The sequence below is a fragment of the Homo sapiens genome, chromosome 1 (assembly GCF_000001405.40).
Source record: "Homo sapiens chromosome 1, GRCh38.p14 Primary Assembly".
Classification (NCBI taxonomy): domain Eukaryota; kingdom Metazoa; phylum Chordata; class Mammalia; order Primates; family Hominidae; genus Homo; species Homo sapiens.
Genome location: NC_000001.11, coordinates 101281389 through 101294445, shown reverse-complemented (window position 1 = coordinate 101294445; position 13057 = coordinate 101281389). Strand labels below are relative to the sequence as shown.

Sequence of the window (13057 nt, the reverse complement as noted above, 5' to 3'; positions counted from 1 at the left end):
AATAAAAATTAAATATGCTAGAATTTTTTTTTTCTTGAGACGGGGTCTCACTCTGTCACCCGGGCTCCAGTGCAGTGGCATAATCTCATCTCACTGCTACCTTCGTCTCCCGGGTTCAAGAGATTCTCCTGCCTCAGCCTCCCAAGTAGCTGGGATTACAGGTGCCCACCACCACATCCAGCTATTTTTTGTATTTTTAGTAGAGACGGGGTTTCACCATGTTAGCCAGGCTGGTCTCAAACTCCTGACCTCCAGGGATCCACTTGCCTCGGCCTCCCAAAGTGCTAGGATTACAGGAATGATGCACCATGCCCAGCTAAAATAGGCGAGAATTTATCAGAGAAGTATTCCTGGAAGAAGCTGATTTTGAAACAATCCTGGAACCAATGGAAAGAGAAAGAAACTTTCCAATAAAGAGGGGACAATTTAGGGAAAATTGTTACATTATAGGGAAAATAGGGGGAGGGCACTAAGGCAGGAAATAGTGAGTCATAGATGGGGGAGGAGTTAGAAGGTTACAATGTGGGGTACCACAGTCATCAGGGGGATTCTTCACCACCGCAGAAAGGCAAGTCTGTGGTGCGTGGACTCGCCTGGAAATCAGAGCACACCAAATATGACTCAAGACCAGGTTAGATTCTGGGAAGATAAATAGGGCAATGAAATGTTCTCATGCAGCATTAGTAAAATAAGACCCACAGCAAAAAAAGAAAAGAAGACCAAATACCACAATGAAAAGTCCTGAGCATGGCATTGGGTGCTCCCTTCCAACTGAAGCATAAAATTTCAACCACATTGCTTTCCCAGAGCCACTGCAACCACTGGGTTCATCAAATCCAATTCCTCCTTTTGGTGGTCAAAAAATTGAAACCACAGAGATGCACTGACGTAGAGAAACCTGAGGCCATCTGTCCCAATTTTCTGAGATGCTGCTAGACTTTGTAGCACTTTTTTCTGCTGCAGGAGCTCAAAGCCCTTTTGAAAATACATTAATATCACAGAGGATATGCTTCTAGCAACAGGAAGGGCCTTTAACAAAGAAAAGGCACACTGTCCCCCTTCAAAGTATTTTACTGGGAGGTTATATACTTAGTCCCAGCTGCTAGTGCTTAGGGATATATCGTTTCTTTAACTTTTTTTTTTTTTTTTTTTTTTTTTTGAGACAGTGTCTTCCAGGCTGGAGTGAAGTGGTATGATCTCAGCTCACTGCAACCTCCACCCCCCCATGGCTCAAGCAAACCTCCCACCTCAGCTTGCCGAAGTGCTGGGATTACAGGTGTGAGCCATCACGCCTGACACATTTTTTCTTTATTCCTAAAATTCATTGAATCTTTATCCTTTAAGATGAATGATTGTGTGAAATAGCTTAAAGTCCTTTGTTCCTAATTACAGTGATTAAAGTAGTGATCAGACACGGTATAATACCATTTTTAAATAATAAACTAAATAAACTGGACATGGTGGCTTATGCCTATAATCCCAACACTTTGGGAGGTCAAGGTGGGAGTATCGCTTGAGGCCAGGAGCTCAAGACCAGCCTGGGCAACACAGCAAGACCTTGTATCTAGAAACAAACTTTAAAAATTAGCCCAGTAGGCCGGGTGCGGTGGCTCACTGCTGTAATCCCAGCACTCTGAGAGGCTGAGGTGGGCAGATCACCTGAGGCCAGGAGTTCGAGACCAGCCTGGCCAACATAGTGAAACCCCCTCTCTACTAAAAATACAAAAATTAGCTGAGTGTGGTGATGGGCGGCTGTAATCCCAGCTACTTGGGATTACAATTGTCCTGCTGAGGCAGGAGAATTGCTTGAATCCAGGAGGTGGAGGTTGTGGTGAACAGAGATGGTGCCACTGCACTCCATCCTAGGCAACAGAACAAGACTCCATTGAAAACAAACAAACAAACAAAAAACAAACAACAAAACAAACAAAAACAAACAAACAAAAAACCATAGCCCAGTATGGTGACATGTGCCTGTGGTCCCAACTACTTAGGAGGCTGAGGCAGGCAGATCCCTAGAGCCCAGGAGGTTGAGGCTACAGTGAGCTATAATTGTGCCATCCAGCCTGGGTGACAGAGTGATAAATAAACTAAATAGGTAAACTCAATAAACACATAAACTAAATAAATTGATTTCCTCACTTGGTTCCTTATGGAGGCTCTTCATAGACAGCTGTCAACCTCTTACTGTGTTGGACACTGAAAGAGGAATGGATGGTTTCCATGGTCCCTGCTGTCAAGAAGCGTACATTAGAAGGGAATACTTACTCAAGCAAACATGCTTCATTACCAGCAAAAGTGAAATACTATGACATGTGAGAAGAAAGCAAGCCATCTTTTTGATTTGAAGAATAAGGAAAAGCATCATAGGAAAAGTAGCATCTTAGTTGGCCGTTGGAGGAAAAACAGAATTTTAATAAGGAAAGAAAGGCATAAAAAGAGCAATCCAAGCTGAATAAGAATAACAAAGTCATGGAGATGTGAAAGTGCAGGGTAAGTTCAGGAAATAGGAAACTGCTGTGTGGTTAAAGCAATGGGCACGTGGGAGATGGTGGTGGAAGATGCAACCCGATCAGGCAGGAGCACAAACATCAGACTCTGGATTGCATCAGACCCAGGAGAGTGTTTTCAGTCAGATTTTCAACAATGACAGCCTTGTTAGAATAAGTGGGTGGCTTCCCCTGATAACTACTTTGAAGGACAACATTCACTGAGGTGCTTAAGTTCTAGGACTGCTTAAAACCAAATCAGGTCCCATTGCTTGATAATTACAGCTGATAAAATCATGTCTCTGTACAGGAAAATTTAGCACCAATTAGTTAAATCATCAGGCTTCAGAGCAGAGTCATCAGCAAAGCCACAAAGGAGGAAGAGGCTTAGTCCTGCTGGGCAGTCTGGCAAATGAAGTTACTAAGTATAAACATAAAGTCTTCCAGGCACTCCCCTTGGGAAAATCTGTTTCTCGCTTGGGGGAACTGGAGAGGTCTCTCCTAGGATCAGGAGTTACAGGGGATGAGGATGGTGGGGGTAGGGGTGCATGGACTGAGTTTGGGAAGGACCTAGCATCGTGGAGTGCTCAGGTGCAAAGGAGAGAAATCAGGAAAGAAGCCCAGTTTATCTCTAGCACCAAGGTAAGATGGAAATGGTGGGGGCACTGAAGGAAGATTGCAACTTGTTCAGCCTCTGGGTGCCCAACATGCATACCAAAGCCTCAAGATAGAGCACCCATGACAGCACAACTAATTCCAAATGCTACAAGCTTGTGGTTCAAGGCTACCAATAAAATACCCTTAGTCCCACCCACAAAGTTTCTAATTTAGTGAGCTAAATTAGACCTGAGATGGGCTGAGAATTTGATTTTCTAAGAACTTCTGAGGTGGTGCTGATGCTGCTAGTCTAAGAACCTCCGACCTAGAACTTATGAACCACAGCCCTCAGGTGACATGTTTAGTAGCTGAATCTGAGAGAAACTGCAAAGGGTAGGAGTTGACAGTTTCCAGCTCAGACTACCTGAGGGGGATCTGTATGCTCCAGAGACTGATAAACATCAAAACAAGCAACAATCCAAGACAGATAGTGATCATGCAATAAAAAGAAGGCAGAAAGGGAAGGTTAAAGGAAGGAAGCAGAGAAGGAATCTGGGCCATTTGCCTGGAGACAACCACCCAGTAGAGCAGAAAGGAGCTGCATCACTAGCCAGTCACTCGGAAGCTACAGCTCTGTTGTCACCTGGCTGCATCTAGAATCATCTACGGAGCTTTCCAAAAATGCCAGGTGCTAAGCCTCACCCCCCCAAACAAATTAAATCAGAATCCTACAGATGGGGCTCTGACTGTGGGAGTTTCTGAAAGCTCCCAGATGATTCAAACGTGCAATTAGGGTTGAGAGTCGCTGTTCTAAGGGAAATTTGATCCTGTTTAAAGAAAGAAAGAAAGAAAAAATCCAATAGAGAAATCTGTGGAAGAAGCAGTCTATCTCTACTTAACTTAAAATGTAACAAGATTTCTAAAGTGATTGCTCCTCACCTTCTTACTCTATCCTTCCCAAACCTTCAAATTCGTTTACAGCTGTGGATACATCCAGCACTGTGCCTGAGCAGTTTCTTTCTTATTTATTTATTTATTTATTTATTTATTTATTTATTTATTTATTTTAAAATAAAGATGAGGTCTTGCTATGTTGCCCAGGCTGGCCTCAAACTCCTAGGCCAAGCGAACCTCTTGCCTCAGTCTTCCAAGTACTGGAATTACAGGTGTGAGCCATTGTTCTCAGCCTATGGAGCAGCTTCTGTGCTGTTGTGCTCCCCCATGCTTTGCTTACTGTGGATCATGATTACGGATTATGGTTAACAGCAGTCAAACAAGCCTTGTAGCTGAAAATATTGAAAGAGGCCTTCTCCTAGGGCTCACTCTCTTCCTGTCTCTCGGAGGTCTGACACCAAGACAAATGGTTTTTGTCTCTGCATAGCTACAAATCTATGGATCATTTATTTTATATTAGATTAAAAATGTGAGCTTAAGAGTCAATGCTGCCAAGCATGGTGCCTCATGCCTGTAATCCCAGCAACTCTGGAAGCAGAAGGATCTCTTGAGCCCAGGAGGTCAAGGCTGCAGTGAGCTATGATCACACCACTGCACTACAGCCTGGGTGACAAAGTGAGACCCTGTCTCTAAAAACATTTAAAAGAGTAAAAGTAAAAAAGGGTCAATGCCCTTACAAAAGAGATTTCTAGAGCATCTAGTCAAATTTTATATATCTATGTCTGAGCATACTGAAGAATAAGTGAAATGTTATATGAAACTGCAATATATAAATAGATAAAAAGAAGCATTATAGAACTGTGTATGATGTTATTATTTGTGTTAATAAAAGAAAGAGGTGGGGCAATATGGGGGAATATCTCCAAAAATATAGATAATAGATTGTGACATTGGTTTACTCTAATGTGGGGCAGATTAGTGAGGAGACTTTTTGCTATGTGCTCTTTTCTACCTCTTGAATTTTGAATCACTTACATGGATTACCTATTCAAAAATAAAATTTTTTGAATTAACTTTTTATAGTGGGGCCTGTTCTGGTTAAAACAGTCTGGACCTTCCTTTTCAACCTCTTCCCCTCATCCCAAGCCCTCACACCCAGACAAAGATCCATGAAGATTTCTAAACCCATGATGTTCCTCAGACGACGCCTCCCCCACATGGGGTTTGGTGGAGAACTGCTAAACCATTTCACTCCCACATTTTTGTTTTCTTATTTTTTGTAATGACAGGTCTCACTATGTTGCCAAGCCTGGTCTCGAACTCCTGGCCTCAAGCAATCCTCCCTCCTTGGCCTCCCAAAGTGCTGGGATTATAGGGGTAAGCCACCACATCTGGTCCAACCGCACATTTTTGAGCAGCCAGAACTGATAGAGAGAGAGACCCAGTGACTTGTTCAAAGTCACACAGCTAACATATACATCAAAATCTGATTATTTCTCCAGTGTTTTTTTTTCTTTGCCCCCTCAAACATTTAATCCTTTCAACACAGCCTCTCAGATACTTGATGAACTTCTATACCTATGCCAAAGAGATAGCATTAGTACAAACACAACAACAGCGGCAGAAAAAAATGTACGGACCAGACACCAACTAAGTAAACACAAGCCGCCCAGTCACAACATTAATTATACAACAGCAACAGTCCTCACCACTTGTGAGCTGTTTACCACTGCAGTATAAAAAGGTTTATGTAGCTTATCTGAGTGTTTTGTGGCATGCGTCACAAGACAAACATTTGGAAGATGAAAGCTCCATACACAGATTTCTTTGGTGCTGGCACAGCCCTAATGACCACTAGGTGGCAGTAATGTCCTAACAACAATACTGCTGCTGACCTAGAACCCTTAGAAAGTGTAACAATGAATTAATATCACACAACTGACTACACATCTGAATACACAGCCTTAGTACAAAGCTCCAAATAATTCATTCGTTTGATAAGTTGTGCTACCATTGTAACAGCTAAGAATGTTTTAGTTTATGTCACAAGTAGGCTCAAATCAACAGCCTTTGGGCAGAATCTGGTCAGCAATGTGTTTGTCTAGGGTAGTATTTGGTTTTGTTGTTTTGTTTTAATCTGTAATGCTTTTTGGCAAGCCCTCTCTAATTTGCCAGAACTCCCATCATTCTTCAATATCTTATTCCATGCCCCACACATGTGTATGGCCCTGGAAGGCATTTGAGATTGGGATCCCTGCTAGAATATCTTTGTCTGAAATACACAGTGACTGTGCATTGCAGTCTAGCTGGTCTGGTCAACTCTCTTGGGCTTTTCCACCTCCATTTATTTATTTATTTATTTTGGAGACAGAGTCTCACTCTGTCACCCAGGCTGGAGTGCAGTGGCATGATCTCGGCTCACTGCAACCTCTGCCCCCAGGTTTCTAGAGATTCTCCTCCCTCAGCCTCCTGTGTAGCTGCGACTACAGGTGCATGTGCATGCTTTTTTTTTTTTTTTTCAGATGGAATCTCCTGTCCCCCAGGCTGGAGAGCAGTAGCGCAACCTCGGCTCACTGCAACCTTCGCCTCCTGGGTTCAAGCAATTCTCCTGCCTCAGCCTCCTGAGTAGCTGGGATTATAGGAGCCCGCCACCACCCCCAGCTAATTTTTGTACTTTTAGTAGAGACAGGGTTTCGCCATCTTGGCCAGGCTGGTCTCAAACTCCTGACCTCAGATCATCCACCTACCTCGGCCTCCCAAAGTGCTGGGATTACAGGCATGAGCCACCATGCTCGGCCCTCCATTTATTTTTCCCTAAGTCATTTTGGAACTGTCCTCACAGAGTCGACAAGAATTGCATGCTGGGTTCTGAACAGAAATATAGATGTAATGAAATATTAATCAAGCTGTAATTTGATCCACTTTCTTGTTGCTGAAAATAACGTAGCACTAGATATTGATCATTGGCATCCCCATCGTTCCTATAGATAGGATTTCTTTTTTTATTATTATTATTAATTTATTAATTTATTTTTTTGAGACAGGGTCTTACTCTGTCACCCAGGCTGGAATGCAGTGACACAATCGCAGCTTGCTGCAGCCTTGACCTCCTGGGCTCAAGTGATCCCTCCCACCTTAGCCTCCAGGGTAACTGGGACTACAGGTGCATGCCACCATGCTCATCTAATTTTTTTTTTTTAATTGTAGAATTAAGGTCTTGCCACGTTGCCCAGGCTGGTCTCAAACTTCTGGGTTCCGGCGATCCTCCTGCCTCAGTCTCTCAGCCCAGCCTAGATAGTATTTCTGGCATTAGGATCATAAGACTTTAAGAATTGATTTGCATCTCCACTGCTCCTGTAGACAGGATCTCTGACATTAGAATCATAAGGCTTTTGTTTAGGAACCGTTTAAGATGTTTTTCAGATCCCAAATTCCAGCAAAATAGCTGATGCTAACCAGTTTGAAGACCCCCACTGAGGAGGAATGGAATTGGCATGAAAATACAGCTTCTTCATCTCCTTGCCCTGACTTCACCCTCCACTCTTTGATCAATCAATGATCTCCAAATTTCAGCCTACTCCCAAACCTCTATAACCCCTAGCCACAAATTCCTTTAGGAGGTGGATTTGAGGTTCCTTCCAATGTCCTCATTTGGTGGTCCTGTTATTAAACCTCATTCTCTGCTGCAACCCCATGTCTCGATCTATTGACTTGCTGCACATGAGGGGCAACAGGTGGCAAGGCAACAGACCTCCGATGGCTGCAATTTCTCTATCTATCTACAATGTTCTTCCCCATGGTTTTCCTTTTTTCTTTTTCTTTTTCTTGTTTTTTTTTTTTTTTTTTTTTTGGCAATCTTTCTCATTCCTGAAGGCTCAGGTCAAATGTCACCTCCTCCTTCCATCAGGAAGCTTATACCAGGCCTCTCTCCTCTAACATCCCATGGCACACAGAGCCTCTACTACTTTGTTGGTGCTTGTTTTCTGCTCTGTATTGTTAGTTGTCTTTTGTCTGTCTCAGCTCTTTGTAAGTTCCTGAGGAGAGCAGAGAAGTCGGCTACTTCTTTGTGTGGGCAATGGTTTCCAGTACAGTGTCCTACTCATGCTTGTATTTCTTCTGACTCAACAACTCTGCCAGAATCTCCTCCACATGGACTAAAGGGAGGCAGGATGATTTAGAAAAAGCTTTTTATAACATAGGACTAAAGGAATACAAGTCTATGAAAAATTAAAACTAAGCTAACAATTCCACTGTCTCCTAAAAGTACTAAGAGGATATATCATAGGGTACAGGATAAGCTCTAGAGTCAGACAGCCTGAGTACATAGCTTTGCTCCACCCTTAACAAGTTGTCTCACCCTGAGTAAGCCAACTTACTTGAGAAAATATTAATAGCACCTAGTTAAAAGGGATTTTTATTTGTTTGTTTTTTACTGTGGTAAGAGTACTTACCATGAGATCTGCCCTCTTGACAAATTCATAAGTGCACAATACATTAATGTTGCACAGCAGATCTCTAAAACTTATTCATCTTGCATAACGGAAACTGTACACTCATTAGAACATGAAGGTTTTTTTAAGAAATTCTACTTTGAAATAACTTTAGACTTACAGTAAAGTTGCAAAAATTGTAGTTTCTATATACACTTCACCCAGTTTATTGAAATATTAGTATCTTACATAAATGTAATGCAATTATCAAAACCAGGAAATAGACATTGATACAACAATATTAACCAAATCTACAGACCTTGTTTGAATTTCACCAGTTTTCCCACAGATTTCTTTTTTTTGATCCAATCCAGGATCTCATATTGCATTTAGCTATTATATCTTCTTCATCTTCTTCAATCAGTGATAGTTTTGGAAAATCCAGGACAGTTATTTTCAAAATGTCCCCCAGGTTTTCTCATGAATAGATTGAAGTTATGCATTTTTGGCAAGAATGGCACAAATAGGATATTGTGCCCTTCTCAGTGCATCATATCTGGAGGTACATGATCTTGGTATGTCCTATTATTGATGAGGTTATTCTTGACCACTTGGTTAAAGTGATGTATGTTGGGTTTCTCCACTGTTAAGCTTACTATTTTTTCCCTTTGTAATTAGTAAATATCTTTTAGGGAGATACTTTGAGACTATACAAATATTCTATTTCTCATACTTTCACCAACTAATTATAGTATCCATCCATGGGGCTTGCCTACAGCAATTACTACTATGGCATTTGCCAAATATTAATCTTCTATTTTTCTGATTCCTTCTACATGTATCAACTGAAATTCTACTGTAAGGAAGAGCTATTTCTTCTTCCCTATTTGTTTATTTGGAGGCATTTTATGAGGATTAAATGAAGTAGGACATTTACATGGTGTCTGGCACACGGTGAAGGCTCAGTAGGTGTGAGTCATCTTTAATATTATTATTACTGAGACAGTATGGAAGTTATGTAACTAATTGTTATGTGACTAATATTTTCTAGTTAGAAATGAGTATTTCTAACATGTTTAAAGGTGTTCCAAAATGGTCTACTATATTAGTTTGCTAGGGCTGCCATAACAAAAGATGACAGATTGAGTGGTTTAAACAACAGAAATTTATTTCTTGCAGCTCTGGAAGCTGGAAGTCCAAGATCAAGGTGTCAGCGGGTTTGGTTTCTCCTCTCTCCTTGGCTTGGAGACGGCCACCTCCTTGCTGTGTCTTCACGTGGCCTTTCCTCTGTTATGTTGGCACCTCTGCTGTCTATCTGTGTGTTCTCATTTCCTCTTCTGCTAAGGACTGGTCAGATTGAATTAGGGCCACGCTAAGGGCCTTATTTTAGCTTGTTCAAGTCTTTAAAGGCCCTGTGTCCCAATACAGTCACATTCTGAAGTACTGGGGCTTAGAGTTTCAACACATGAATTTGGGAAGGGGGAGACGTCATTCCACCCATATCTACCTATTTGCTTTGAAAAACTATTGTGAGCAAATCATTTAACATGTGAAAGCACTTTCAGAACTGGAAAGCACCGTACAAACATAAGGCAATAGTATAACAATACGACAAATTTTGGTAAGCATTCATGCACTTTACATTTCAGGTACTGAAGCATTCCTTTACAATGTTATTGCCATTATTCATTTAACTTTCCTTTCACGGCTGCCACGGAACTCTGGAAGGCCCACTTCAACCCGGGCACTGTCTGTGTTATCGCACATCCTCAGCGAGTGTCAACCACATCAGTGTGTTTTGCTTGCTTTTTGTCTTTCTGAAGCGTGGGCTTTCAGCAGCTCATTTCAGGCTATCCCAGCTACCTCTTCAGAGGCCCGAGGCACCTCCTTCCTCACAGGGAAAGCTGCCTGCGAGGCGGCCGGCAACCGCCTCATTTCCCCGTCTACCAGCTGCGTAGCCTTGGGCAAGGCCCCTCCGTGCAGCACTTCGTCCCAATTCCACGGCTGAAAAAGAAGGATAACAATCCTCACAAGGAGGCTGAGGATTAATGAGTTAATCTTTATAGAGCATTTGGAGAGCACACAATGGACAAACCCCTATTTATCTCTTTGTAGAACTAGCCTACAAACTAAACTCCCACTAGGAAACTAGGACCCTTTTATATAATGTTTACTTGAAGGAAGCAATCTGCAGATTCTAATAAATCTTAGCTTCCCAGAAGTGGGAAAAAGCACACATTTCACTATATCTGAGTAAGTAAAAAAGTAGAACAATTTCTCCCCACCGAAGGTTTTGCTTATCAGAGGCTAACAGAGGCCAGGGAGAAACTGTGACCTGTGGTCTGCCTTGCCTGTCATGGATAAGGAAGAACCAGAGACTCTCCCCAGGGCTGTCAAATGTTTTTAGAGCTGACATCCTTGCGGTCCACAGCCTCCAAACTCAGAGCGTGTGGGAGGAGGGGATGGATACAATTTAATTGCCTCCTGCAACTTGCCAAGCCCACCACCATTTTCCCAGGCTAGCAGTAGCCATTCCTTGCTTAATAGTAGTGCTTTCAAGCCCTTCAGAGACAGGAGTACTTCAGCAGCCAAAGTGGGAAGTCCTTCTTCCAAGTCTTCCAAGGCCTTTGGCCACTGCCAAAGCACCCCAGAAAAGTCTGTCTGTAGGAACTGTCTCTGTTTACCATGTTGCATTACCTCTTTGCTCAGAATCAATCACTCCACCTGTGATTGATTGCCAGGGGCCACCAATACTGCTTTAGGGGGAAGCTTTTCTCCACACCACATCCCTTATTTTCCTTGCCTCACTCCCAGGCAATTTTCACCACAGGTCTGGCAACAGCCTTCTAAATGATCTCCATAATTCTGCTCCCTAATCCCTACTGCATGGTCTTCCCTGCTCCTCTCCACCTATCCAACTTCTAAATCTGAAACAATAAAATCTTACAAATCCCACCTCTATTCTCATATCCCTTGGAAGTTCTTGTTTAAAGGATCAGTAGAGATTAGCCAGGCCAAGAGAATGCCTGTGTGTGAGACGGGGCGAGGAGGGAGAGAAGAGGGCCAGAGAGCAACAGGGACTGCAGAACAGCACATACAAAGTCGTGATGTGAGAACGTGGCTCACGTATGCAACTACTCGGGACTCAGCAAAACTGGAACCTAGAAGGAAATAAAGCTGGCGAGGATCAGCAAAGCCAGGCCCCCTGTGAAGGAGTTTGGACTTTATCTAGGAGAAAGTGGGGGCCATTGAAGGGTTTTAAGTACACAAGTGTCACAAACAAGTTTGCATTTAAGAAAGATTTCTCTGGCAACAGAGCGGAGAATACATTAGAGGAGAAATACTGGAAGCAGAGAGACCATCTGAGAGGCTGGTACAATTATCCACAGTTGATGACAGCAAGGGGTAAGAAGGAGAGGGGATGTTAACTTCAGCAGCGTTACTCAAAAGTGTTGTCCTTGGGCAAATGCCAACTTCTGGACCAATGTCTGTCCTCCAACTGTTTTTCCTGATCTGTTATGAGATAAAGAACTTGTGCCAGAATGTAAAGTCAAGGCAGGCACTTATTGCTTCATCATAAAAAGTCTTGCTTTAGGGGGGAAAATAAGTCAGTCATACTACACAGTGTGCTTAGTGAAGTATTTGATTTACATTCTGGCCCAAGTCCCTTATCTTTGTGAAACGGTAACAGTCTGCAGACCAGCACTGTAAGTGGCACTGACTCCAAGGACTTTCTGGATTGATGATGATTTGGATCCAAATGAGAAGTTTATAATCATGGTGGGTTCGGTAAATGAGGGAGACAATACATGCTTATAAGAAAAACAAGTAACCCAACTGTGGACAGGGTGATAACCTGAATGAGTGATGCATTATCTCACTCATTCTTTGAGGACTCCAACTGAGAAGCTGGATCCCTGAATGGAATGACCGTAGGTTTTTGCATAAGTCAGAACTGAGTTCAAATCCTAACTTCATGACTTACTGGGTAAACTTATGTTAGTTAGCTGACTTCTCTGAACCTTATTTCCCTGCGTATAAAATGGGAGAAATAATACCTGCCTCACAGCGATGTGAGCTCATGACCTAGCACATGGGAGGTGTTTGTTCACTGTTCCCCAGATGTGGCACATGGTGTGAATTCTTTGAAAAAAAATGTGCTGAATATCATTTTTAAAATAAACAGAAAAGTAATGAGAAGACAGTTTTTAAAAAGTGATACAAACACAGAGTTGGGAGTGTGTAATCAGCTCTTCTGGAATATCAAACTGTAAAAAGATAGTAAAACCGTGCAGCTAAGGTCTGTCTGCAGCCGAGTTGTAAAATCTACTTTTCTTACCCCATCTTCCTCTCACAGACACTTCTTCCTACCTCCATCCTCAGCCTCACATTCTGGGGCCCAGCTTTGAGTCATCTTGACTAAGGATCCATCCTCAGCCTTGGGTCTTGGTCTGGTAACAGGGCTCTGCCTTGGTGCCTGTTTTGGTCCTGTTCATGCTGTTATAGGTATTGTCCCAATACTCCAGGTCCCTCTGCTAGAACACCTGGGCTGCTCTTGCCAATCCCCTCCCAAAGAGATTCCTAAGCTGTCAGGCCTATGGCTATTGCCCTGGTGCCTACTTGCAGACAACTGTGCTTTGAGAACAT

General features: G+C 42.6%; 2 annotated features.

Annotated features, from left to right (window-relative positions):
- Positions 462 to 531: an enhancer, noted in NCBI's record as "active region_1399". NCBI's record gives its function as "activates an Ori minimal core promoter by ATAC-STARR-seq in GM12878 lymphoblastoid cells {active_cell/tissue: GM12878}" and the evidence as "EXISTENCE:reporter gene assay evidence [ECO:0000049][PMID:35858748]".
- Positions 672 to 761: an enhancer, noted in NCBI's record as "active region_1398". NCBI's record gives its function as "activates an Ori minimal core promoter by ATAC-STARR-seq in GM12878 lymphoblastoid cells {active_cell/tissue: GM12878}" and the evidence as "EXISTENCE:reporter gene assay evidence [ECO:0000049][PMID:35858748]".